This window comes from Homo sapiens, chromosome 2, assembly GCF_000001405.40.
Source record: "Homo sapiens chromosome 2, GRCh38.p14 Primary Assembly".
NCBI classification, from domain to species: Eukaryota; Metazoa; Chordata; class Mammalia; order Primates; family Hominidae; genus Homo; species Homo sapiens.
In genome coordinates this window covers 110,108,407-110,134,972 of record NC_000002.12, presented here as the reverse complement: position 1 = coordinate 110,134,972, position 26,566 = coordinate 110,108,407, and the positions used below count along the sequence as shown (strand labels likewise).

General features: G+C 41.8%; 2 protein-coding genes across 13 annotated transcripts in view, besides 1 other annotated feature; both read left to right on the top strand.

Annotated features, from left to right (window-relative positions):
- NPHP1 (nephrocystin 1) overlaps positions 1 to 11,625 on the top strand; it is an 81,666-nt gene extending 70,041 nt beyond the window's left edge. For 5 of the 10 annotated variants that reach the window (NM_001128179.3, NM_001374256.1, NM_001128178.3 and 2 more), the window contains 4 exons: positions 3,182 to 3,294; positions 5,714 to 5,787; positions 9,292 to 9,336; positions 10,910 to 11,625. In NM_001128179.3, the coding sequence (NP_001121651.1) occupies positions 3,182 to 3,294; positions 5,714 to 5,787; positions 9,292 to 9,336; positions 10,910 to 11,182 (505 nt within the window). In that variant the 3' untranslated portion in view covers positions 11,183 to 11,625. Of the gene's footprint in view, positions 1 to 3,181; positions 3,295 to 5,713; positions 5,788 to 9,291; positions 9,337 to 9,649; positions 9,785 to 10,394; positions 10,537 to 10,909 lie in introns of all 10 variants that reach the window. The other 5 variants (XM_005263677.2, XM_005263676.2, XM_006712551.2 and 2 more) reach the window with 3 other exon arrangements.
- The window catches only part of MALL (mal, T cell differentiation protein like), a 34,270-nt gene continuing 24,537 nt past the window's right edge, over positions 16,834 to 26,566 (top strand). For 2 of the 3 annotated variants that reach the window (NM_001371560.1, NM_005434.5), the window contains exon 1: positions 19,151 to 19,285. In NM_001371560.1, the coding sequence (NP_001358489.1) occupies positions 19,181 to 19,285 (105 nt within the window). In that variant the 5' untranslated portion in view covers positions 19,151 to 19,180. Of the gene's footprint in view, positions 16,957 to 19,150; positions 19,286 to 26,566 lie in introns of those variants that run through there. The other variant, NM_001371559.1, reaches the window with a different exon arrangement.
- Positions 19,164 to 19,971: an enhancer, noted in NCBI's record as "H3K27ac-H3K4me1 hESC enhancer chr2:110872579-110873386 (GRCh37/hg19 assembly coordinates)". NCBI's record gives its function as "activates a minimal SCP1, AML or CMV promoter by ChIP-STARR-seq in primed H9 embryonic stem cells {active_cell/tissue: H9 hESC(primed)}" and the evidence as "EXISTENCE:reporter gene assay evidence [ECO:0000049][PMID:30033119]".

The window sequence follows — 26,566 nt, the reverse complement described above, 5'->3', positions numbered from 1 at the left end:
TATTTCCATTATTGTGTTGAGTAAAAGTGGCAGGAGCAGGATCCTTGTCTTGTTCCTTATCTTAGAGGAAAAGCTTTCAGTGTTTCACCACTGAGTATGATGTTAGCTGTGGGCTTTTCATATATGGCCTTTATTATGTTGCAGTAGTTTCTTTCTATTCCTAGTTTGTTGAGTGTTTTTATCATGAAAGGGTGTCAAATTTTAGGCTTTCTCAGCATCAATTGAGAAAATAATGTGGGTTTTTCCCCTTAATTCTGTTAATGTAGCACATTATGTTGATTGATTTTTGGATGTTGAGCCATCCTTGAATTTCATTAATAAATTTGACTTGGTCATGGTGTACAAGCTTTTTAATGTGCTGTTGAATTCACTTTGCTAGTATTTTGTTGAGGATTTTGCATCAATATTCAGGAATATTGGCCTGTAGTTTTTTTTTTTTTTTCTTGTAGTATTGTTGGCTTTTTTACTAGGGTAATTCTGACCTCATAATGAGTTTGATAGTGTTTTTTCCTCTTCATTTTTTGGAAAAGTTTGAGGAAAATTGGTGTTAATTCTTCTTTAAAGGTTTGGTAGAATTCTCCAGTGAAGCCATCTGATGCTGGGCTTTTCTTTATCAGGAGATTTTTTAAATTACTGATTCAATCTCCTTACTTGTTATTGAGATTTTCTATTTCTTTGTGATTCAGCCTTAGTAGGTTGTGTATTTCTAGAAATGTGCCTGTTTCATTTAGGTCATCCAACTTGTTGGCATACAACTATTTATAGTACTCTCTTACACATTTTTTATTTCTGTAAAATCAATAGTAATATCCCCTCTTTCATTTCTGATTTTAGTTGAGTGTTCCTTAGTCATTCTCACTAAAGGTTTGTCAATTTTGTTCATCTTTTCAAAGAACAGAGTCTTGCTTTCATTGATTTTCTCTATTGTTTTTCTATTCTTTATTTTGTCTATATCTGACCTAATCTTTATTATTTCTTCCTTCTGCTAGTTTTGTTCTTCTAGTTCCTTAGGGCATAAAGTTAGGTTGTTGACTTGAGCTCTTCCTTCTTTTTTAATGTTAAGTATTTATAGCTATAAATTTCCCTCTTAGGACTGTTTTCACTGTATCTTGTAAATTTTGGTATGTTGTGTTTTCATTTCATTTCTCAAGATATTTTCTAGTTTCTCTTGAGATTTCTTCTTTGAGCCATTGTTGTTTAAGTATGTTGTTTAATTTCCACATATTTATGTGTTTTCCAGTTTTCCTTCTGCTTTTGATTTCTAGTTTCATTTCATTATGATTGAAAAAAGATATTTTGTATGATTTCAATATTTTTAAATTTATTAAGACTTACTTTGTGACTCAACATATGGTCTTTCCTGGAGAATATGTCATGTGCACTTGAGAAAAATGTGTATTCTGCTGTTGCCGGGTAGAGTGTTTTGTAAATGTCAGCTAGATCCAATTAGTCTACAGTGTTATTGATCTTCTGTTTCATTGTTCTATACCTTATCGAAAGTAGGATATTGAAATCTTCTCTATTATTATAGATCTATGTATTGCTCCCTTCAATTCTGTCAGTGTTTGCTTCATATATTTAGGAGCACTGATGTTTGGTGCATATATGTTTATAATTGTTATATATTCTGAATTGACTGTTTTATGATTGTACAATATCCTTTGTCTCTTGTAACTTTTGGGGGGCTTGAAGTCTATTTTGTCTGATATTAATATGGCTAAACATGTTCTCTTTTAGTTGCTATTTGCATGAAATTTTTTTTCTGTTCTTTCACTTTCTACCCATGAGTGTCCTAAGTCTACCGTGAGTCTCTTATAGATAACATATAATTAAATCGTGTTTTTTTAGTGCATCCTGCCAATCTGTATCTTTTGATTGAGGAGTCTAATTTATTTACATTTAAAGTGATTACTAATAGAGAAGGACTTACTTTTGCCATTTTATTACTCATTTGCTGCTTATCTTATAGCTTTTTTTGTTCTTAATTTCCTCCCTCACTGATTTTCTTTGTGTTTGATTTTTCATAGTGACAAATTTTGATTCCCTTTTACTTTCCATTTGAAAATATTCTATAGTTATTTTCTTTGTGGTTACCATGGTATTACATATAACATCCTAAAGTTATAACAATCTATTTTAAACTAATACCAACTTAACTTGGTATTGCATACAACATCCTTAGGTTATAGCAGTCTATCTTAAACTGATACCAATTTAACTTCGATGTTGAATTATTTTCTATTTTTTAGCCCTTACTGTATACCAGACACTACATTAAGCACTCCATACTTATTTCATTTGTTGTTGTTGTTTTGTTTTGAGACAGAGTCTTGCTGTGTCACCCAGGTTGGAGTGCAGTGGCACAATCTTGGCTCATGGCAACATCCACCGCCCAGGCTCAAGGGATTCTTCTGCCTTGGCCTCTGAGTAGCTGGGATTACAGGTGCCCGCCACCAAACCTGGCTAATTTTTGTATTTTCAGCAGAGATATGGTTTCACCATGTTGGCCAGGCTGGTCTCAAACTCCTGACCTCAAGTGATTCACCTGTCTCGGCCTCCCAAAGTGTTAGGATTACAGGTGTGAGCCACCATGCCCAGCCCACACTTACTTCATTTTAATCCTTTTAGTAACCTTCTGAAATGCAAGTATTACTATTGGTATCCAATAAATGAGGAAACCAAAGCACAAGGAGATGAATTAATTAATTTAAAGTCACATAGCTAAGAAGTGACAAAGTCAGGACTTATTCCAGGTCTGTCACACCCTCCCATGTTCCACCCAGTACTGTGAACAGCCTGAATTATTTCTTCTGCATTCACCAAATCAGGCATGGCAGCCACATGCCTTTGTTAAAGCTTGTAGCTGACTAGTCCCCTTCTTTCCAAAACATAATTAGTGGCTTCCCGTTTTTATTTGACATTTAACATAGGTATATATGCTAACATGGAAGCACAAAAATGGCAACACAGGGTTGAGACTCGAAAGTGTAAACAAATATAAAAAGTTATCTGAAATTTAATGTGGCCTACTTGTAGTAGAAATTTTTCTTTAAATAGTTAAAAATGTGTTCCAGTAATGAAGCAAAATTTGGGACTGTTTATTAAAGTAATATACATCAAAACATTATAAGTTGGATTGTAGGGGATTGTCTAATGAATACATTTTTTTCTTCTTTAATAGTCTACTGCCAGAAACATTAATTGGAAATATGTGTTCTATTCACTTGTTGATATTTTATCGACAAATTCTTGGAGATGTGCTCCTGAAAGACAGGATGAGCTTGCAAAGTACTGGTAAGTGGGCTTTGCCACTTCCTTATGTGCAGTAATGCTTCATACTCTGAGTAAAGGTAACCTATACCATCTTGTATCTTCTGTTTCTGGTTGTGACTTTTGGAATAAAATATTTAGAACAGCATTGATGTTAATACATTACTTATGGGACATCTTCAGATCCAAAGCATTGAGCTTTGTGAACTCGACACATATTCAGTTCTTTCAAACATATGTATTTTCACATTTCAAATTCTAGAGTTTTGAGATCCCAAGAGTCAGATATAGTCATATTTTCCCTTAATGTCTCTGAGTAATCTGTTTTTTCCCATGTGTTTGGTATGCACATAATCATTTTGAAGAGAAACCAAAATCAACCAAAATAGCTGGTTCTTAGTGCATGAAGTATAAGTATCAAATGGATTAGTTTAAATTGGTGAATCCAGATATGGAGTATTTGGGTGTCCTATGTACTGTCTTTATTCTTGCAACTTTTTTGTACGTTTGAAATTTTTACCAAGTAAAATGTTAAAAAATAAGTTTAAAAATCAATGAGTCACCATACATGATTGAACCTGCAAAGATAAATGCATGTGTTATAGTAATTGCCTTCAAAAAGAAAAGCAGTTTAATTGTATTGGCTCTTCTTTCAGTTCAATAAATCAGTAACCAGATATGTACTGAGTACCTGGTATGTGCCAGATATTATGCTAGGCCCAGTGATGAATGAGACAGGCATAGGCGTCCCAGGCCTCAAACACATAATTTCATGAATAATCCTCTCCACCCTTTTGAAATAAGTGCTGTGAAGGAAAATACACAACGAGAACATGCACTGGGAAGACTTGATTAATGTGTAGGGTAAGGAAAGGCTTCTTTGAGTGAGTAATATTTAACAAAAGATGTGAGAGAGGAATTAGACCTATGAGGGAAGTGTGTGGGGAAGGATTCTTTCTGGGTAGAGGGGCCAGCATGTCTGAAGACCCAAGGAAAGAAGACATGCATGTGTTGGAGGGCTTGAAATTGAGGCAGGCCAGTATGGATGGAGCAGAGTGAGTGAGAGGCTTAGCACTTGTGGACAAATAACATTCATAGGCAGGAGTCCTCTCCCAGGGACTTATCACCTGGATAGATAGGTAGAAGTGGAACTCAAAGGCAGAGAAGCGCAGAAAGTTCTCAAGGAATCATTATAACTCTAAGGGGGAGGACGGGTAAGCCTTTTAATCACCATTGCCTTTGAATTCATTTTCATGACTCTTGAGAAACTTCATGAATGATGTGACCTCTTAAAGAGGATAAGGCTTGTTAGTTTTCCCAATAGGTAAGAAGTTTACTCAGAATTGTTGACTTCATTTGAATTTAATCATTAGAATAAAATATCCTAATAATATCTAAAGAATGAATTTTTCTCTACTGAGGACACCAGATTATAGAATACCTTGCCCTTGCCATTTCAAAAGTGTCTGCTATGGTTTCAGTGTGTCCCATCTAAAATTCATGTTACCAATGTAATGGTATTGAAAAGTGGGGCCTTTGAGTGGCGATTAGGCCATGAGGGCTGTTGCCTTATGAATGGGATTAGAGACCCTTACAGAAGGGCTTGACAAGGGAATTCGTCTCACCCTTTTGCCTTCAGCCACGTGATGGCACAGTGTTCCTCCCCTCTGGAGGATGTTGTAAGAAGGCCCTTACCAGACACCAAATGCCATTACCTTGATCTTGGATTTCCCAGCCTCCAGAACTTGGAGAAATAATTTTATTTTGTTTATGTTACCCAGTCTCAGGTATTCCACTACAGCAGCGCAAACAGACTAAGACATGTCTTTCCTGATGTGCTTCTTTGCACAGATTTTTCATGTGCTGTTATCTATTGTGAAATGTCAATATTCTCCCTCACTGTGTTTGGTCATATGGCCAGAATCCTCAATTCCTAATTCTTCCAGTTTCACCTACCACTGTCTGCTGGCTCCAGACACAAGTTTGGGTCCTTCCCTGAGCGCTGGTGGCCTGGAATCAGACCTGAGCAGCAGGTCCTCTGTCTCCTTTCCCCCCAATGCTTCCTAGTTTCTGCTCAGTCTCCCAAGAGCAGGGCTACCTCTAAGGGGAAGATTCCTTTTACCATGCCACAGCCATAAGGAAGAAAGAGAAGTTGAAGAAAAACACAGAACAAAATTTTCTAGTCTTATTCTGTTCAGAGCCTCCTTGCCCTTACTCTAAAAGCTCCATTAATTTGGTACAGGAACTCACCAGGATATGGGTATAGGGGCAAATGAAGGTTGAAGGGACAGCTTTGAGCTCTCCTAGAAGTCAAAGTGTGTAGAATGTGTTATCAACAAATCATTTGGCACAATAATTTTCATCTGAATATTTTTGTGTCTATTGCAATAAAATCCATTGAGTGAAGTTTGCATAAAATTCTTTCTGTTGTTTTGCATTTCAGATTTAATTAGCCATCCCATGCTGGCCACCTTCCCCATGCTCTTGGAGCAGCCTGATGTGATGGATGCTCTCAGGGTGGGTAGCATGCATTGCAATGGAAACCTGCTGGCTTATGGAAGCAGTTATACACTCTGTGTTAATGAGTTCTGTCTAGGCCTTTTTTTTTGTTACTAGGATGATGTCTCCCAATCCCTATCCATTGTCTAGGTAACTCAGTCCTCATCTTTCCCATCTTAGCATAAATTCCCAAGGGCTGCCTTCCCTGACCCAGGGAGCAGGTGGAGTGCCTGCTATGTACACTATTGCAATCTTTGCCCATTTTTTCCTTGACTTAGGATGGCCACTGATTGTGTCCTAAGAGCAAAAATCCAAAATGGTCTGTAAGATAAATCAATTGAATTTGCAGGGGAGAATCAGGGCATGCACATCATCTTTAATTCCATGTGTGCTGTTTGCTGTCTGAAATAACTGTTGAGTGTTATGTTAAATCGTATGAAATCTCCAATTTTCAGCCATTTTTGGCCTAAGTGGCAGTTTCATATGGTTTAGCCTAATACATCAGGGTCAATAAGTAGAAGAGCTGCATGCATGCAAGGCAGATACACAGGTAACATCACAAGTGCCATGGGGGAGGTATAACCCAGGACCTTGAAGATTTAAAGAAGGCAGCAAAGAAGGATCCAAATTCTGTTTCACTAGAGAGGTCCTGCATGAGAGAGCCTAATAAAGGCCAGGGCCAAGAGGATTTTGACCTGCTGAGATGGGGGTGAAGACGTTGCAGGTAGAAGGCTTAGCATGAGCAGACGTTTGAGGCAGGAAGGAATAGAGCTGACAGTCCAGCTTGGCATGTCAGATGCAAGTAAGGGAGTGGTTGGTAGATGGGCAAGGTAAGCCTGAGTCTCGGTGTGGGGCTGAGGGCGGTGGTAGGTGGTGGGTAACCCAGGAAGGTTTCTTCTTTAGGCAAACTCTGCCAAGTGCAAAGAGGCAGAACATGTGCAGGAGGGAGGTGAGCATATTAGGGGGTGACTCCTGCTGATAAAAACTAGGCCATATGCACCTGACAGCAGAAACAGAAGGAGGACTCAGTCATCTACAAAGATTCTTATTAGACTTTGAAACCAATTCATATGCTAGCTTGGCTGGGTTGGGGGGTGTCAATAGTAATAATGACATTTTCAACAGAGATGTTTAAGAAAATGTTCATGGTACATATGATCTCCTGTAATTTTAGATAAGTTCGTCTGGCACTATAGCTAGATAATGCAGAATTTCTCTTTCTTCTCCTATAAAGTCACTAGTATCATAATAATTATTCATTACACAGAACATATATACACTGATTCTTCAACAAAGATTTCACAAGAGCCTACTATGTATTAATATAAGGCACTGTGCTGGCCACAGGAATATTTCCCTAGGTGTGTAACAGGAATCTGCACCTTGTTCTTAGGAGGAAACTTAGGATCCCTAATCTAGTCTAAAATCTGCATTTCCCTGATGAGCAGACAGCTTGGAGATGTGCAGTGACTTGGCCGGCCATGGAGCTCAGCCATGACCCAGCCGGGGCTGTCCCTGCGGGTCAGCTCTGGGTGCACCCAGAATGTGCCACGGGCTGCTTGAAAGCATGAGGGTAAAGTTGTGCACATATGTTATTTAGCAAAAAGACCCCATTTGAGCCATAATAAGTATAAATATATATACATTTATATACCTGCCTGTGAAAAGATCTGGAAGAATATATTCCAGAGAGGTATTGGTGAATATCTCTGGATCTTGGATTATTTTATCTACATTTTCTTAATTTTTTCACATTGAATTATTTGTGTTATGATAATTTTAAAAAAGAAAGTGGTGGTTGTTTCTACACCCATGAGCCTTCTTCTCTCCGTGGCATAGTGTATTACTTAGGAGAAGCTTGGCTGTGCTGTGGTGGTTAGCACAGGTTTATTTCTTACCCATGGTATGTATCCAGCATGGATCAGTGGAAGATGCTGCTCCACAGTCACCCAAGGGTACAGGCTGGTGGAGCCTCTACTGTCTCACAGCACCATCTGGAACAAGTAGCTGCCTCTGTTGCCAGTTTCCCTGCAGAAGAGGGAGAATGGAGAATTGTTCTTGGGCTTTCACTGCCTTTGCTTCAAAGGGGCCTGGGCCACTTCTGCTCACATTGCATTGGCCAAAACCAGTCACACGGTCCATTTAACTTCAAAGGAGGTATAGTCTTCTTTTTGTTCCAGAAGAAAGGAAGTGGATCTTGGTGAGGTAATAGTGACCTTTAACACGTTTGCTATTCCCAAATGAGTTACTCTAAGTGAAACATCCTACTATTTGCTGGTGGCTGAATGAAAAATAAGGTGGGACATTGACATGTAACTAACAAAAATAGACAAATTTTACCAGACACTAAGTCTACATTTGCTAAGTGATACTCACGTTAAACCATATTATTAGGTTGGTGCAAGAGAACTGTGGTTTTTGCCATAAAAGTAGTAGCAAAAACCACAATTACTTTTGCACCAACTGAATAAAATTTAAAATGTACAGCATGTGAGCCTCCTAGAGTTTACTTACCTAGCACAGTTCAGTTTGTGGATGACATTTTAATAATAAGAAGAATGGCACTTGGCCTGTTTAGTAAAACACTCTGGTTCTGTAAGGGTCCTCTTCAAACTCCTAAGGACCCATAGCACAGCAGTTAATAGGGTGGAGGACCATAGTCCCCTCACGTGGTAATAGGTATGAACATTCCAAAATGTTCTCATGAGTGGCATAGTCTGTTATCTCCTGCTGAGAAACGCTCTATCAATGCATCATTTATTTTATGGAGAATCTCTTTATTGGTGCCATATGTTATGTTCATCCCAGGGCCTCCCTGCTGAGAAAGGTCTGATGCTTTCAGGTTACTCATGATATCAGGTGCCAACAGGAGGATATCTACTGACATGCACAGAACCCAGACCCTGGAACAGGCAGCCGTGAGACTGGTCATATTCCACCCACGCATTCAGTTTGCCAGGAAATGGCACAGTGAAAGTCTTAAATTCATACTTCTGTGGGACTAATTGAACTCTGGGGTTTTTATTTATTTGAGGAAATTTCTGTGAAGCCCTGTGGACAGATTAGAAATATTTACTCACAAAATTGTACTTCAGTCTGTCTCATTCTGACCATTGTCATCATCATGACAGAGAGAATTGTAGAAAAGTTTGGTATTTGGCAGTGTTTTCTATTTTCATTACTGTCTTACTTGGAAAGCTTAATACTATTTTATTATTCAGGTGCTGTGGTTGTATAGTTTTCATGGATGTGTTAGTGTTTCGCTGATTCTATTCTTAAGTTAGTTTTGATTTATAATTATCATGGGCTTCTACGGCATTTTTCACAGATACATCTGCCTGGTCATTCTGGTGCTGGGTCATTTGCAATAGATTCCTAATTACAGATTCACTTCTTGCTTGTATAGAATCTGTACAGCATTTTTAACCCTGTCCATAAGTTTATTTACAGAGTAAATTTGCATAAGTGTTGCAAGGACTTGTTACTACTTGGACTAACATAATATTTCTGTTTGCTCTTTAGAGTTCGTGGGCTGGAAAAGAAAGCACATTAAAAAGATCAGAGAAGGTAAAATATGAGTCTCCACACTGAACTCCATATTTGCAGTACCTGGTGTTTGCTTGCCTATTCTAATCATGTCTCTTTTTTAGCAAAAGTAGCCATAGTCATAATCCCTCTTAACCAGGGAAACTGTTTCATTATGGCTGCAAAAACACATTCCAAGAGGGTTACGCATGATCGTTAGCTAATGTGAGAAGGAATACTTGTTCAAGACAGCCATTTCAGATTACTGAGTTTTATTTAAATAAAGGGGAAGTTTCTAAGCCAAAGTCTCTCAGTTGTGTATCAAATTTCTTTTATTTTTAAAAAACTTCTCTAGCTCTCAAAGCCTGTATCACCAAGAGAAGGGAAAAAAAAATGGCCTGAGCTGTACCATATATTGAAAACAATGCATTGCTCCTGCTTACCTTGCTATAAAATCATGGTAATTACCAATCCGAACTTGCTTTAATCGGTGAGTCGTGGTTTGACTGCTCTCATCCAGGATTTGGCAAATGGGAAGGGCTATAGATGGAAAATCTTCTTGGCTTTTCAGGTCTTGTGGTCTCTGTCACACTACTCAGCTCTGGTGTTGTAACACAAAAGCAGCCACAGACAATATGTAAATGACCAAATGTGACTGTTTTCCTATAAAACTTTATTTATGAAAAGAGGTGAGAGTCCACATTTGGCCCACAGTCCATACTTTACCAGTCCTGATCTAAAGTATTCATTATCTACAAGGAAAATGAAGTAACAAATGAGCTGAAAACCCTAAAAATTAGGAAACAATTTATACATTGTATCCTTATTTCAGCCTCCATTTGATCAGTACCATCTACATACATGTGACTTTGCCAAAACTGCCAGGCTTAGTGCTATTCTAGTACAGCAGCCTTGGGCCTGTAGACATTGCCCTTATGTGGACATGTGTGGTGGGATGGGTGATATCTCTGTGTAGACTCTGCTGCCTGTGGACAGCTCTGCCCTCAACTTGCTGTGCTCTCTGAGATTCCCACCATGGCCTGTGGGCATCGGGGCTTGACATGGGTACAGCTGATGCTGCACCATTCTTATCTGTGAAGGGTCTGACATCCTCATCACCAAAGGACCCCTCGACCTCCATCCCAGGCATTGCTGGAAATAAGCCAACAACTCTGGATCCTATGCAGAACACCTGCTACAATTATCTTAGATAACATGACAGTTACCTCTGATATGCTGTCAGTAAGTAGGTTCAGCTGACTTGGCATTGTTTTAGTTATATTTACCCCTAACCACACTGGTGTCACCAAAATTAGACTGCAATACCTTGACAGAATGTGTGAGACACCCTCCATGGAGCTTAGGAGACACCCTGGTCTCATGGAGCCACGTAGAGGCTCTCAGGGAGAACTGCTCCACTGTACTCTGTGTAACTCTGCTCACTTCCACTTCTGAAGTGCCATGTCCTGCCTGAGCAGCTGGCTCAGAGCCGATACCTGCCAGGCACTAATGGCACCCTCCATCCTACCTCTTAGGTGGCTTTTAGTTAATAGAGTTCACAGAATTTAACACTTTAAAAATAACAATGTTATTTGTGGGGGTGGTGTTTTCCCAGAGAGACAAAGAGTTCCTGAAGTCCACGTTTCTCCTGGTTTACCATGACTGCGTGCTCCCACTTCTCCACTCCACACGCCTACCCCCATTCAGGTGGGCAGAAGAAGAGACTGAGACTGCACGGTGGAAAGTTATCACTGACTTCCTTAAGCAAAACCAAGAAAACCAGGGCGCCCTCCAAGCTCTGCTGTCACCAGACGGAGTTCATGAACCTTTTGACCTTTCAGAGCAGACCTATGACTTCTTGGGTGAAATGAGAAAGAATGCAGTGTGACAGTGGCAGCCTCTAGCCCTCAGCTTCCCACGGAATCAGATGGATCCTCCACGATTACGTGAATAAAATGATGGAACCAAAAATCACTGTCACTTTACAACTTAGGTTTTACTCTTTTCTTTCTACAGACCATATTTTTAAAGAAATGTTTATACAATAATTTAAATATTTTTTAAAACCATAAAATAAATTTTTATAAGGAATACTGTTATATCTAAATTTAAACAGTATTTATTTTTTCAAAAACAGCTACTTAAGTTAATGGTATAGATTTCTATAAAAGCAAGATTTTGTCAAAAACTAAATTTATGATTATTCAAGAAAGTGAAAAAAACAACCTACAGAATGGGAAAACATATTTGCAAATCATCTAACTGATAAAGGTCTAGTATCCAAAATATTTAAATTTATGAGTGTTAATAAAATTTATCTTGTTCAATGAAGAGGAAGTTAAAGTGATCCATTTGAGAAAGTTGTATCACTTAATTCAGTCTGATACTTGAATGTGATTTACCCCTAATTAAGTACAAAAACAGAGTCGCTTTTGCCTTTTCAAATCAAGAAAATAAGTGCTCTGTCAAAAGCACAAAAAGAAACTTTCAGGCACTGGAGAGTGGAGTCGACTCACCCTTTCAGGCCTTGTTGCATCTCAGATAAACCTGTGACTGCTGGTAAAATAATGTCCCAAGCCTTTCCTTTTAGTGATAAACAGTAGCAGCCTGCGTTAATTGAGCACCTACTGTGTGTCTGAGCATTTCTCATTAGCCCAGTTAATCCTCACACCTACTGTAGGAGATAGGTACTGTTGTTTTTTATTACCGCCGAAGAAACAGGCCAGATAAGTGAAGTAATTTGCCTAAGGTCACAGCTAATAAGTGGCACAGCTAATATTCCCAGTAAAGATACCATGTATAATTTTCTACAACCTAAGATGTTCTGCCTTATCGGGGCGAACCTTTTAGGATTCCATGTGAAAATAAAATATGAGGAAAAGTTTAACCTAAATAATTAGAATCCCATTAGAGGTACTTTTTTTTGATGGCATGCTGCCTTAAAAGAGCCATTTATTTTTAGAGATCTGTCATATTATGAAAGTTCTGGGCTATCTTAGCTAACTTATCCTAAACCCTTAACCTAAATTTAACTTGAGCCCCAGTCTCAGAAATTAACATGGTATGAAGGTGTTTCCAGGCCAGGCGCGGTGGCTCACGCCTGTAATCCCAACACTTTGGGAGGCCGAGGTGGGTGGATCACCTGAGGTCAGGAGTTTGAGACCAGCCTGGCCAACACTATCTGTACTAAAAACACAAAATTAGCTGGGCGTGGTAGTGCGTGCCTGTAATCCCAGCTACTTGGGAGGCTGAGGTAGAAGAATTGTTTGAACCTGGGAGGTGGAGGTTGCAGTGAGCCAAGATCGTGCCATTGCACTCCAGCCTAGGCAACAAGAGTGAAACTCCATCTCAAAAAAAAAAAAAAAAAAAAAAAAAGAAAGAAAGTGTTCCCAGCCACAAATGTGACAAGTGAGAACTGGGCCTTGGAAAAGAGATTTCATTCTCCAGGAACTCATTTCAGGAGATCTCTCCCTGTGCGTGCCCTTCTGCCCTCAACCACACAATACAAGGCTGAGTGTGGCAAACACCTTCCTTTTGCCCATCAGCTGCCTGGGCACACTTACAAAGTGGTGCCCCCACTTCTCTAGCACCGCGGCCCTCCCCAGCTCCTGCTCCCAGGGAGAGGGCTTTGCCTTTCAAATGGAGGTGGTAAGTGTGCACAGAGACTTTTTGCTACTCTGTTACTGAGTTGCCTCCTCTTACTCTTAGTCCCCTGCAGTCCTGTTTTTGAAAGAACATGAGCCCATATCACTCCTCACTGTGAAAGTCATTTCTCTGTAGAAATGACTTTTAATTTCTAAGCTCCACCTTTTTATTTTTTATTTTTATTTATTTTTTGGGCATTTATTTATTTATTATTGATTTATAATTTCTAAGCTCCACCTTTTTATTTTTATTTATTTATTTTTGAGGCATTTATTATTTATTATTATTTATTTATTTTTATTTATTTATTTATTTCTGTCACCTAGGCTGTAGTGCAGTGGTGCAGTCACAGTTCACTACAGCCTCAACTTCCGCGGGCTTAGGTGATCTCCTACCTCAGCCTCCTGAGTAGCTGAGAGCACACACACGTGCCATCATGCTTGGCTAATTTTTGTGTTTTTTATTGTAGAAACAGGGTCTCACTATGTTGCCCAGGGTGGTCTCGAACTCTTGGACTCAAGCAATTCTCCTGCCTCAGTCTCCCAAAGTGCTAGGATTTCAGAGCCACCATGCTTGGCCATCTTTTTATTTATTTTTTTTAAGCATTTGGCTTATTCTTAGCGTTAAGCCAGGGGTGGGGCATTTTGAGTGAAAGAAAATGCTAGTGAATTTCTTTCAGTGCATGTACAACATGAAGGAAGAGAAGGCTTTTTATTAGAATGCATTTTCCAAGACTGTCTTCCACGTTCATTTGAGAATGTGTCATGAGCTGACAAATATGGACAACTTCATAGTTTCTGACACATTAGGAAATCATAGGGACACCAGAGAAAAAGCTTAAGTGAAGCTTAGGCCAGAAAGTGAGGTACATAACGGAAGGGAGAGACCCAGGGGTGTGGGCATTTCTGCTATTAAGAGACTCCACCTTCTCTTCAATCAGTGGAATCTTTTTTTTTTTTTCAAACAACAAAATCTCTGTGACTTTAAATGCCACTTACTGGCTTCCACAACGGAAAAGGTTGTCAAGGAGCCAAAAACATCCTGGAAATGAGTCCTCGTGGGTCTGTCTCAAGGAGTGTGACTTTAGCAACTCACTGAATTAATTGTAAGAGTCATGGTGGTGGGGGGCGGGCAGCAGCAGGGTGAACAGCAGGTCTTTGCCGAGTGACCACACGTGTGGTGCCTACCTCCAAGGCCAGGGGGACTCACCACACCCGAACCATGGGAGGGCGGCCAGGGCGGGGAGTCTGAACTGTGAACTACATGGCTCACTCCTCCCCACCCTCCCAACCTCTTAATTGGTTGAGTGTCATATCCATCAGGTCTGCAGAGGTGAAAAATGTTGCAACTCGCTTGCCTGGGTGCTTGGAATGAAAGTCTAGGGGCAGAGGCAGATATTAAAGAGCAGGTATAGTCTCTGTCTTCAGTGTTTGTGATCTAATGCGCAAGGCCAGAGCAACTCACATAAAACCAGTTGACATACATAACCCTGTGTACAAATGGAGCAAGTTTGACTTGCCAACCCAGTAGCAGTTGGGAAACTATCAGTTTAACAGAGGAAGCCAGCAGTGTCCTCTGCCAGTTGAGGGCTTTGTCAATTTACAGCATTATAGGATATCCTTTGCTGTGAACTGCCTCAGCTTCCTCTTGCGTGAAGCATTCTAAGTTGGGAGGCTTTCTTGGGGTGTGGAGGTGATCAAAGACAGCTGTCACCTAGCTGCTGTGATCTGTTTCCTCAAAACAAAGAGGCAGAGAAAGAACCTTACTTAGGGCACTTTGCATCTAAGTGTTACAATTATCCATTCATCATTTACTCAACAAGTGTTGAGCACCTGCCATGTTCCAGGCACAGCACTGAGCTTTGAAGATACAGTGAGAACAGTCCTGGCAAGATCTCTGTCCTTACAATGCATGAGGTGGACAGTAATCAGCCAAACACAAAAACTAATTCCAACAGTACTATGGTTGGGGCTGTTAGTGGCCCCGTGGCAGGCATGAAGTCAATGGTAAGTGTACAGGCATTCCTTCCTATCCTCACTCTCCCTCTCCCAACCCCACTGTCTGTTGTTGGGGACCAGTTAGATTCAAATACCTTTTCAAATGAATCCCTCACTATTTGAACTCCCACATTTACTCTCTGAAACTCAAGGACACGTGGATTTGGTAATACTGTATCCCTCAAAACTCAAACTTGCTCTCTGAATTCTGATATTTGAATGCAGTAACCAAGTCAATTTGGATAAAGAGGGATGGGTATAAAGATAAGTGAATGGGCCAGGCACAGTTGCTCACACCTTTGGGAGGCCAAGGCAGGCAGGGTGCTTGAGCCCTGGCATGCGAGACTAGCCTAGGCAACATGATGAGACCCCATCTATACAAAAATTAGCCGGGTATGGTGGTGCAGGTCTGTAGTTCCAGCTACTCAGGAGGCTGAGTTGGAGGATTACTTGAGCCCAGGAGGTTAAGCCTGCAGTGAGCTGTGATCATGCCACTGCACTCCAGCCTGGGCAACAGGGAAACCTTGTCTCAGAAAAATAGTAAGTGAATGGCAAGTGAAAGTCTATAGGTTATACTGTCTCATAGGCAGGAAAATGGAGGTCGAGGATGTTCTGCTCAGTGATGACTGATACTGAATGAGGCGTGCAGGTCTGTGTGCAGCAATATAAAACAGAACTCATTAATGGAATACAGCTCACATTTGGGACTTTGATAGTGTGCCTGTCATTTAGCCCTTTTCTGATACTCTGTAAGACAGACTGGACCTTAACCTGCTCATTTGTATCTGACTTTGCCAGCAAAGATTAACTTTGCAGAACTGTGTCCTTTCGAAGAGGCCATTTTGGGGAATAAAAAGGTCTCCATGCTTTCTGAGCTCTTCTCCAGGTAGGAATCTCTGGATGACCCAGACATTATCCCATTGAGTCCTTCCTCTTTCCGGGCAACTGTTCTGTACTTGCCCAACTCCAGAGACACAAGAAGCCAGACTCAATTCTGCCTCATGGCTACGAACATTAATCACAGCATCTTCCTGAGTCTATCAGTGTGTGCATTCTATCTACCCCATTTGAGAGTTAAAGAGACCTTGATTTGTAGAAATAATAGTTGCAATCTAGTTGTGTCTAGCAGGCGAGAGCCAGTGGGACATGTGTGTTCTTGCAGCAGAAAAGGGGAGAGCTCTGCTCCTATTTCTACAGTGGGAGGCTACTATAGTGGACATCTGGTGTTTCTGCTGCTCAGCCTCCATATACTTCTCTCTTGGTAACGTCACCTCCACCTTGAGTGGCATTGTTCAAGTCACTGGATGAAGTCTCACCCGAAGCCATTATTACCTCTTAGCTTCTCACTTCCTAAAGTAATACGTTCCTTTCATCACTAAAGCCATTTGGAATGGGTTTTTCTAACTTTTGTTATTGAAAGAATCCCAATGGATACAACTGTCTATTCTTTCCCCCCAAGTATCTCTGGATTTCTTCTGGCTTCTCTCTTCTTTTTCATGCAACTAGTAAATTGTTTCTGAAATATAGATAAAGCAATTTCTTAGTGGGAAAAGAGTTTAATAAATAGGAATCAAAAAAAGAGAGAAGCAGTTGTCTCCAAAGTCTTTATGACTGTTTTCATGACTGTTTCAATCATTTAAAAACATTTATTGAGTACCTTTTGTGTATCAGACAGTATTCAAGATGGTGGACATGGCTGTGGTTCACCACATGAACAAAGTTTTGGCTCTCCTTAAGCCCACATCCTAGAGAGGGACAGGGGCAGGGAGACAAACAATAGGCAAATTAATCAATCAGGGAAATCTTGGGTAGTGAAAAGTGCTTGCAGAGTTAAGCAGGATGTTGCTATTTGGGCTCTGGTCAAGTAGAGAAGGATACTCCTCCTCTTCCTTTCATGAAATGCAATTAACAGCCCTGGACAGAATGCATGGAGAAGCTAACTGAGGATTCTAGAAAAAAAAAAAAAGGAGCAGGAATATTTGGGAAGGAAACCAGAATTCAAAACACTACTAAGCTGTTGGTGAGTTTCCCATTTTCTTTCCTCTGGTACCTGTCAGCCAGCGTCAGAGACCACCTGAAACCCAGAACTGTACACAGGATGCAGACAAAGACATCTCCAAAAGAATCCATGTTTCTGGTCTGAGGAATGGGAAAGAGAGCCCCAAACAGTCAGAGAGAGTGTAGAAAATCTCTGTTTTTTGTTTGTTTGTTTGTTTATTCTTTCCTTCCTTAGCCCCTGTGCAATCTCGTGACAGTGGTGGTGGCAATGGAAGTAGCAGCCAGGCAGGTACCTGGAACTCTGAGAAAGGGGAACCTTTGTCTCTGATCAGAGGAACCATGATCCTAAAAGCATGGGGGGAATAATTTTCACATTTGTGTTTCTCTCTCTCTCTCTCTCTCTCTCTCTCTCTCACACACACACACACACACACACACACACACACACACATTGCTTTGGTCCTGAAGATAGACCCAGTCAGAAGAGATGCACAGCAGAGAAGGAAAATGAAAACCCTGGTCTTTAGCCAGAAGACCAAGGCATATCTTCATTTCTTAATATACTAATTGCTTCAGAAGGTGGAAATGGCTCAGGGCCTCTCAGCTTAAGAGACTAAGGGGTTATGGGTTGTATTATTTTCTCCATTTCATAGATATGAGCCTAAGAAGGTTGTTTTTCTTCTTACTTAAACTTTTCCTACTATGCCATGTTGTCCATGGGCAAGTCAAAGGTATCCTACAGCCTGTAAGAGTGGCACAGTGCTTATTTGCAACCTTTAAGAGAGGTGGCAAGATGTGGGATTCATGGAGAAATCTCTCCTTTGCTTGGATTAATCCTGTAAACAAGGTGGTGTAGGTGAGACTGGGGTTGGCAGGTGGGATTAGGGTCTCCCTTACTTCCTAGTTTCCGTAGCCTGGGAAAAAGGGATGATCAGTCTGGTTTGAGATCCACTGGGGGGTTCATTGCCTTTCTTTGCAATGCCTTTGGTCTTAGCTTCATTTGTCCAAACTCCTCTCTCCCTTGGCTCTCCCCAGACCAGGCAAAGGCCAAGCTGGCTGGTCTCCCCACCTGTGGCCCTGAGGGCAGGACCTGGCATTCACCGTTTCTGCTAATGAGATCAAGACATGGCCTCTTCTAATTACTCCAGCCCTCACACAATCTTCCCCACATGCTCTCCACACCAGGGAGCAGCAGGGGGCAGGAAGAAGGGACCCTAACCTGGAGCATCCTGAGCAGACTGTTTCAGGGCGGGTCGGGAAAATGAAGGTTCGCCAATTCAAAGGTGGAGGGGAAAATGGTTCAGCCTTTGGGACTTGTATTTGGTGTGAAAGGAGTTGCTTGCCTCTGGGTCACAGCCCTGCATTCAGCTCCCTGACTTGCCTAGGAGTCAGGAAGAAACTTCTTGGTCTCAAGCCCAGTTAGGGGCAAGGCACTGGCTGGAAGGAAGGCCAGGGAAGGAAGGAGGTTGTCCACTAGAGGCAGCAGCCAGCCAGCCCAGCCCTTCTCTGGTGCCTGCCGGTGTGGTCCTCTCCCAGAGACTGGGGGGCCTTCATCTGCCCCATGAGGAAAAGAGGAGTGGAGGACCATGGAAAGGGATCCAGAAAAAGAAGGAAACACCAAGTCCCAGGGGCATGAGCTGGAAGGGAGGGCTGCTCCTCCCAGGGGAGGCTGGGGACTGAGAGCTGTCCCCAAGAGTGGAAAAGGAGGGAGCTGGGCAAGACCCAGCATTGTTAGTAACCAGCTCTGTGGTCTTGACTTGACCTCACTGATTCTCAGTCTCCTCACTTGGAAAAGGGCAAAACAGCCACGTGCAGGCCGTGGTGGGCACCCGGGCTGTCTGCAGATAGCTTGGCTCATTGTTGGTCCTCAGTACGCAGCCCTCGTAGCCAAGCAGCTTGGGCCTACACTCTGGGCCCAGGGGAGTGGCTGTCGCTGGCATCCCCTGGAATAACATGCTCCGGGGGTCAAAGATTCCTTAGCTGGAAAGGTCTAGGAGGAGACTCCCGCTCTGCTCCCTCCTGCACCAGCGCTGTGCCCCCCGCCGGCCAGGCAGAGCCATCCGATGCCGCTGGGCCGCCCACTGAGGATCTGCTGGCTGCAGCGAGTGGAAGGACCTGCTCGGCTGGAACGTTTTTTTTTTTTTTCCCTCCCAGGCGACGTCCGATGGGTGTGTCGGGCAGGAGGTGATATTTGACAGGCTGCGCGCGGGCGAGCTGCCGCGGAGCACCCGGCAGGGGCTGACAGCATGGCCTCGCCCGACCCGCCCGCCACCAGCTACGCCCCGTCCGACGTGCCCTCGGGGGTCGCGCTGTTCCTCACCATCCCTTTCGCCTTCTTCCTGCCCGAGCTGGTGAGTGCGGCACCCCCGACCCGGGCCACCTGCAGAGAGGGAGGGGGAGACCGGCCTCGGACCCAGACCGGACCGAGAAGAGAGAGACCCAGACCGGACCGAGAAGAGAGAGGGGCAGCAAGCACAGGGGCCACCTGCAGAGAGGGGGGGGGAGACCGGCCTCGGACCCAGACCGGACCGCGCCGAGAGAGACCCAGACCGGACCGAGAGCGGGGAGCGAGCACAGGGGCTGCGGTGGCTGCCAGCCTCCCACCGGGCGCACAGCGGGGCGCAGCTGTACTCAAGAGGCAGATGCCACTCGGTGCCCCGTCTTATGCCGCCAAGGGGGTTCCTCCCTCCAAAACAAAACCCACTTGAGTGTGGAGGCCTGGGGGGACGTCGCTAAAATATCCAGGCTTCCCAGGGAGATGTTGCACATGAATTTTAATTACGCGGCTTCTTTTGTCCAACTATTTGTGCCTTTCTGGTTTGAAGTGAGGAGACTGTGTTTCCCTCTGAGAGTAGGTCTTCCAGTGTTTTCTTAATTGTCACGTCCGCTGACTTTGAACTTTGACTTTTGTGGGGTCTCCCACACCAGGTAGCTATGGCAACATCTGCCATAAAACAGTCGTGTGCGGCACCCTGGTTGCAAATGAGAACCTGTCGCTGTGTTACTCTCTGGGGCGCCCTACGACTGAGTCGTGGCCCTGATCCCTGGGGATCCTGCCTGCTCCCATCTGCAGAGCTGTGCGTATGCAGCGTTCCGCACTGCACAAGTTCCCTCGGAACTGGCTGGTACCACATCCTCTTCACGGAGGAGCACAGTCAAGCCTGGGGTCCAATCAAGGCAAAGGAGTGTTTTCTTTTTCCAGCACCTTCTGAAGTATCTAGCTTGTGGGTGGTATTTTCTTACCTGCCCTGAATTTGGCAGTGCTGTCCCTGAGCAGGGGGGAAAAGATAGAAAGTGCATCTACTTTTCAGCCCTTCTCATTCTCGTCTTCTGCTTGCAAAGTTGGGCCCCCTCAAGCCACTTTTAGGCAAACTGGCGAACGGGTTAGCCATTGATGGCGACCAGAAAGAGAATCAGGCAGGGTGGGCCTAGGATCTGAGTGGCTCCAGCTGAAACCCCACCTAAGAGGCAGGTTTCTGCCAAGGCTACCATCCCCAGCACAGCGTGGGCATCCTGCCAGACTGATGACATAACCGTGCTCTGATGAGTCCTACGTGCCAGGCCCTGGGTGTGCCCCTCACCTTGGAGCAGCTGCATGGGTGGCTGGGGTACTGGTTGACTCTGCCTCTTTTTATTGAGCCTGTGGTTCATGTCAGTCCTGCAAGCCCCTGGTGACAGGGCACTGCCTCCTGGTGGTTTCCTGTCTGCCGGGAAGAGACTCATGAGCATTTCCTCCCAACAAGTGGATGGTGGCCTCAGCAAGGAGGGACCATCTGAACTCTCCAGGCCAAGGAGGGGTCCAGGCCTGCCACCAAGAGTTGGACCTCAAAGAACAGGCATTTACAGGCTGGGGGGAAAGAGAGGGAAAGGCCTAGAGGCCAGGGGAGAAGTCCTGGAAGGAGGCTAGAGGCACGGAGTTTCTGGAACCAGGACAGCACCCAGGGTGAGAAACATGAGAGGTCATGTTGGCCGCACCTGCCCTGCTCCTGCCAGTGAAACTCCTGGAAGAGCAAAGTGCACGCTGGTGTTGGGCTCTGGGGCCTTACGTGTTGTGGGGGGTGAGGGGCTCAATGACAATCAAAATTCACATTGGCCCAATTTTCTTCATTTATTTGTACTGTTAAGTAACGTGAGATTTACAGTAAAGCTGCAATAATAGTAGAGAAAGTTCTGTGTACTCTTCCCTCAGCTGCTGGTAATGCCTGCATCTTCCGTGGTACAACTCTTGAAATCAGGAAACTAACACTGATACTGTGCTATCAAGTACTCTATAAACCTTACTCCAGTTTTGCTAATTTTCTCACTAATGTCCTTTTTCTGGTCCAGGATCCCACATGGCACTTAGTTGCCGTATCTCCTTCATCTCCTTTAATTTGGGAAAATCTGGGTCCTTATCTTGACACTTCTGAAGAGTACTGATTAGGTTTTTTTCTTTTTTTGTGCTTTTGAAAAATTTATTTTTCCATAAATTATTGGGGTACAGGTGGTATTTGGTTACATTAGTAAGTTCTTTAGTGGTGATTTGTAAGATTTTGGTGCACTCATCATCCATGTATACACTGCACTACATTTGTAGTCTTTTTTTTTTTTTTTTTTTTTTTTTGAGACAGAGTCTCGCTGTCGTCCAGGCTGGAGTGCAGTGGCGCGATCTTGGCTCACTGCAAGCTCCACCTCCCGGGTTCATGCCATTCTCCTGCCTCAGCCTCCCGAGTAGCTGGGACTACAGGTGCCCCCACCATGCCCAGCTAATTTTTTTTTTGTATTTTTAGTAGAGACGGGGTTTCACTGTGTTAGCCAGGATGGTCTAACTCCTGACCTCGTGATCCGCCTGCCTCGGCCTCCCAAAGTGCTGAGATTACAGGCGTGAGCCACCGTGCCTGGCCCATATTTGTAGTCTTTTATCCCTCACTCCTCTCCCACTCTTCTCCCCAAGTCCCCAAAGTCCACTGTATCATTCTTATGCCTTTGTGTCCTTATAGCTTAGCTCCCACATATCAGTGAGAACATACGATGTTTGGTTTTCCATTCCTGAGTTACTTCACTTAGAATCATAGTCTCCGAGCTCATCCAGGTCAGTGCGAATGCTGTTAATTCATTCCTTTTTGTGGCTGCATAGTATTCCATCATATATATGTATATATTTATATATATACATATATATATATATCACAGTTTCTTTATCTACCCATTGATTGATGGGCATTTGAGTTGGTTACACAATTTCACAATTGTGAATTGTGCTGCTATAAACATGTGTGTGCAAGTATCTTTTTTGAATAATGACTTCTTTTCCTCTGGATTGATACTGAGTAGTGTGATTGCTGGATCAAATGGTAGTTCTACTTTTAGTTCTTTAAGGAAACTCCACACTGTTTTCCATAGTGGATGTACTAGTTTACATTCCCACCAGAAGGGTAGAAGTGTTTCCTGTTCACCACATCCACACCAACATCTATTTTTTTTTTGATTTTTTGATTATGGCCATTCTTGCAGGAGTAAGGTGGTTTCACAATGTGGTTTTAATTTCCATTTCCCTGATCATTAGTGATGTTGAGCATTTTTTCATGTTTGTTGGCCATTTGTATATCTTCTTTTGAGAATTGTCTATTCATGTCCTTGGCCCACTTTTTGATGGGATTGTTTGTTTTTTTCTTACTGATTTGTTTGACTTCCTTGTAGATTCTGAATATTAGACCTTTGTCAGATGTACAGATTGCGAAGATTTTCTCCCACTCTGTGGGTTATCTGTTTACTCTGCTGTCTGTTCCTTTTGCTGTGCAAAAGCTCTGTAGTTTAATTAGGTCCCAGCTATTTATCTTTGCTTTCATTGCATTTGCTCTTGGGTTCTTGGTCATGAAATCCTTGCCTAAGCCAATGTCTAGAAGGGTTTTGCCAATGTTATCTTCTAGAATTTTTGTAATTTCAGGTCTTAAGTTTAAGTCCTTAATCCATCTTGAGTTGGTTTTTGTATAAGGTGAGAGATGAGGATCCAGTTTCAATCCCCTACATGTGGGTAGCCAATTATCCCAGCACCATTTATTCAAAAGGATGTCCTTTCCCCACATTATGTTTTTGTTTGCTTTGTCAAAGATCAGTTGGCTGTAAGTATTTGGGTTTATTTCTGGGTTCTCTATTCTGTTCCGTTGGTCTATGTGCCTATTTTTATACCAGTATCATGCTGTTTTGGTGACTATGGCCTTATAGTATAGTTTGAAATCAGGTAGTGTGATGCCTCCAGATTTGTTCTTTTTGCTTAGTCTTGCTTTGGTTATGTGGGCTCTTTTTTGTTCCATATGAATTTTAGAATTTTTTTTTCTAATTCTGTGAAGAATGATGGTGGTATTCTGATGGGGATTGCATTGAATTTGTAGATTGCTTTTGGCAATATGGTTATTTTCACAACATTGATTCTACCCATCCATGAGCATGAGATGTGTTTCCGTTTGTTTGTGTCATCTGTGATTTCTTTCAGCAGTGTTTTATAGTTTTCCTTGTAGAGGTCTTTCAACTCCTTTGTTATGTATATTCCTAAGTATTTTATTATTACTATTATTATTTTTTGCAGCTATCATGAAAGGGGTTGAGCTCTTGATTTGATTCTCTGCTTGGTCGCTGTTGGTGTATAGAAAAGCTACTGATTTGTGTACATTAATCTTGTATCCAGAAACTTTTGCTGAATTCTTTTATCAGTTCTAGGAGCTTTCTGGAAGAGTCCTTAGAGTTTTCAAGTTAAACGATCATATCGTCAGCAAACAGTGACAGTTTGACTTCCTCTTTACTGATTTGGATGCCCTTTATTTCTTTCTCTTGTCTGATTGCTCTGGCTAGGACTTCCAGTACTATGGTGAAGAGGAGTGGTGAGAGTGGGCATCCTTGTCTTGTTTCAGTTCTCAGAGGGAATGCTTTCAACTTTTCGCCATTCAGTATTACGTTGGCTGTGGGTTTGTCATAGATGGCTTTTATTACATTAAGATATGTCCCTTGTATGCCGATTTTGCTGAGAGTTTTGACAATAAAGCAATGCTGGATTTTTTCAAATGTTTTTTCTGCATCTATTGAAATGATCATGTGATTTTTGTTTTAAATTCTGTTTATGTGGTGTATCACATTTATTGACTTGCATATGTTAAACCATCCTTGCATCTCTGGTATGAAACTCACTTGATCATGGTGGGTTATCTTTTTGATACATTGTTGGATTCAGTTAGCTAGTATTTTGTTAAGGATTTTAGCATCTATGTTCATCAAAGACATCAGTCTGTAGTTTTCTTTTTTGGTTACGTCCTTTCCTGGTTTTGATATTAGGGTGATGCTGGCTTCATAGAATGAATTAGGGAGGGTTCCTTCATTCTCTATCTTGTGGAATAATGTCAAAAGGATTGGTACCAATTCTTCTTTGAATGTCTGGTAGAATTCTGGTGCGAATCCATCCGTTCTTGGACTTTTTTTGTTGGTAATTTTTAAATTACCATTTCAATCTTGCAGCTTGTTATTGATCTGTTTAGTGTATCTAATTCTTCCTGATTTAAGCTAGGAGGGTTGTATTTTTCCAGGAATTTATCCTTCTCCTCTAGGTTTTCTAGTTTATGTGTGTAAAGGTGTTCCTAGCAGCCTTGAATGATCTTTTGTATTTTGGTGGTGTCAGTTGTAATATCTCCTGTTTCGTTTCTTAGTGAGGTTATTTGGATTTTCTCTCTTCTTTCCTTGGTTAATCTTGCTAATGGTCTATTAATTTTATTTATCTTTTCAAAGAAACAGCTTTTTATTTCATTTATCTTTCATGGGTTTTTTTGGTTTCAATTTCATTTAGTTCTGCTCTGATCTTGGTTATTTCCTTTCTTCTGCGGGTTAGGATTTGGTTTGTTCTTGATTCTCTAGTTCCTTGAGGTGTGACCTTAGATTTTCTGTTTGTGCTCTTTCAGACTTTTTGATGTAGGTGTTTAGGGCTATGAACTTTCCTCTTAACACTGCCTTTGCTATATACCAGAGGTTTTGATAAGTTGTGTCATTATTGTCATTCAGTTTGAAGAATTTTTAAATTTCCTTCTTGATTTTGTTTTTGACTCAATGCTTTCAGAAGCAGGTTATTTAATTTCCATGTATTTGAATGGTTTTGAAGATTCCTTTTGGAGTTGATTTCCAGTTTTATTCTACTGTGGTCTGACAGAGTGCTTGATATAATTTCAATTTTCTTAAATTTATCAAGTCTCATTTTATGGTCTAGCATATGGTCTATCTTAGAGAAAGTTCCATGTGCTGTTGTATAGAATGTGTATTCTGCAGTTGTTGGATGAAATGTTCTGTCAGTTGTAATATCTCCTGTTTCATTTCTGTTAAGTCCGTTTGTTCCAAGGTAGTTTAAATCCATTGTTTCTTCATTGACTTTCTGTCATGATGGCCTGTCTAGTGCTGTCAGTGGAGTATTGAAGTCCCCCACTATTATTGTGTTGCTTTCTATCTCATTTCTTAGGTCTATTAGTAATTGTTTTATAAATTTGGGACCTCCAGTGTTAGCAGCATGTATGTTTAGGATTGTGAAATTTTTCTGTCGGACAAGGCCTTTTACCGTTATATACTGTCCCTCTTTGTCTCTTTTAACTGATAATGCTTTAAAGTTTGTTTTATCTGATATAAGAATAGCTACCCCTGCTTGCTTTTGGTGTCCATTTGCATGAAGTACCTTTTTCCACCCTTTTACTTTAAGTTTATTTGAGTCCTTATGTGTTAGGTGAGTCTCCTGAAGGCAGCAGAGGGTTGGTGAGTTCTTATCCATTCTGTGGTTTTGTGTCTTTTAAGTGGATCATTTAGGCCATTTACATTCAATGTTAGTATTGGAATGTGAGGTACCATTGCATTCATCATGCTCTTTGTTGCCTGTCTACTTTGGTTATGTTTTTGCTTTTTAATTTGTATTTTTGTTTTATAGGTCCTTTGTGATTTATGCTTTAAAGAGGTTCTGTTTTGATGTGTTTCCAGGATTTGTTTCAAGATTTAGAGCTTCTTTTAGCAGTTGTTGTAGTGGTGTTTTGGTAATGGCAAATTCTCTCAGCATTTGTTTGTCTGAAAACGACTATATCCTTCCTCCATATATGATGCTTAGTTTTGCTAGATATGAAATTCTTGGCTGATAATTGTTTTGTTTGAGGAGGCTGAAGATAGGTCCGCAGTCTCTTCTAGGTTGTAGGGTTTCTGCTGAGAAATCTGCTGCTAATCTGATAGCTTTTCCTTTATAGATTACCTGGTGCTTTTGTCTCACAGCTCTTAAGAGCCTTTTCTTCGTCTTAACTTTGGATAACCTGATGACAATGTGCCTAGGCAAAGATCTTTTTGTGATGAATTTCCCAGGTGTTCTTTGTGCTTCTTATATTTGGCTGTCTAGGTCTCTCACAAGGTCAGGAAAGTTTTCCTTGATCATTCCTCCAAATATGTTTTCCAGGCTTTTAGAATTCTCTTCTTCCTCAGGTACGCCAGTTATTCTTAGGCTTGGTCGTTTAACATAAACCCAGACTTCTTGGAGGCTTTGCTCATATTTTCTTTTTTTTTTTCTTTGTCTTTGTTGGATTGGGTTAATAATTCAAAGACCTTGTCTTTGAGCTCTGAATTTCTTTCTTCCACTTGTTAAATTCAATTGC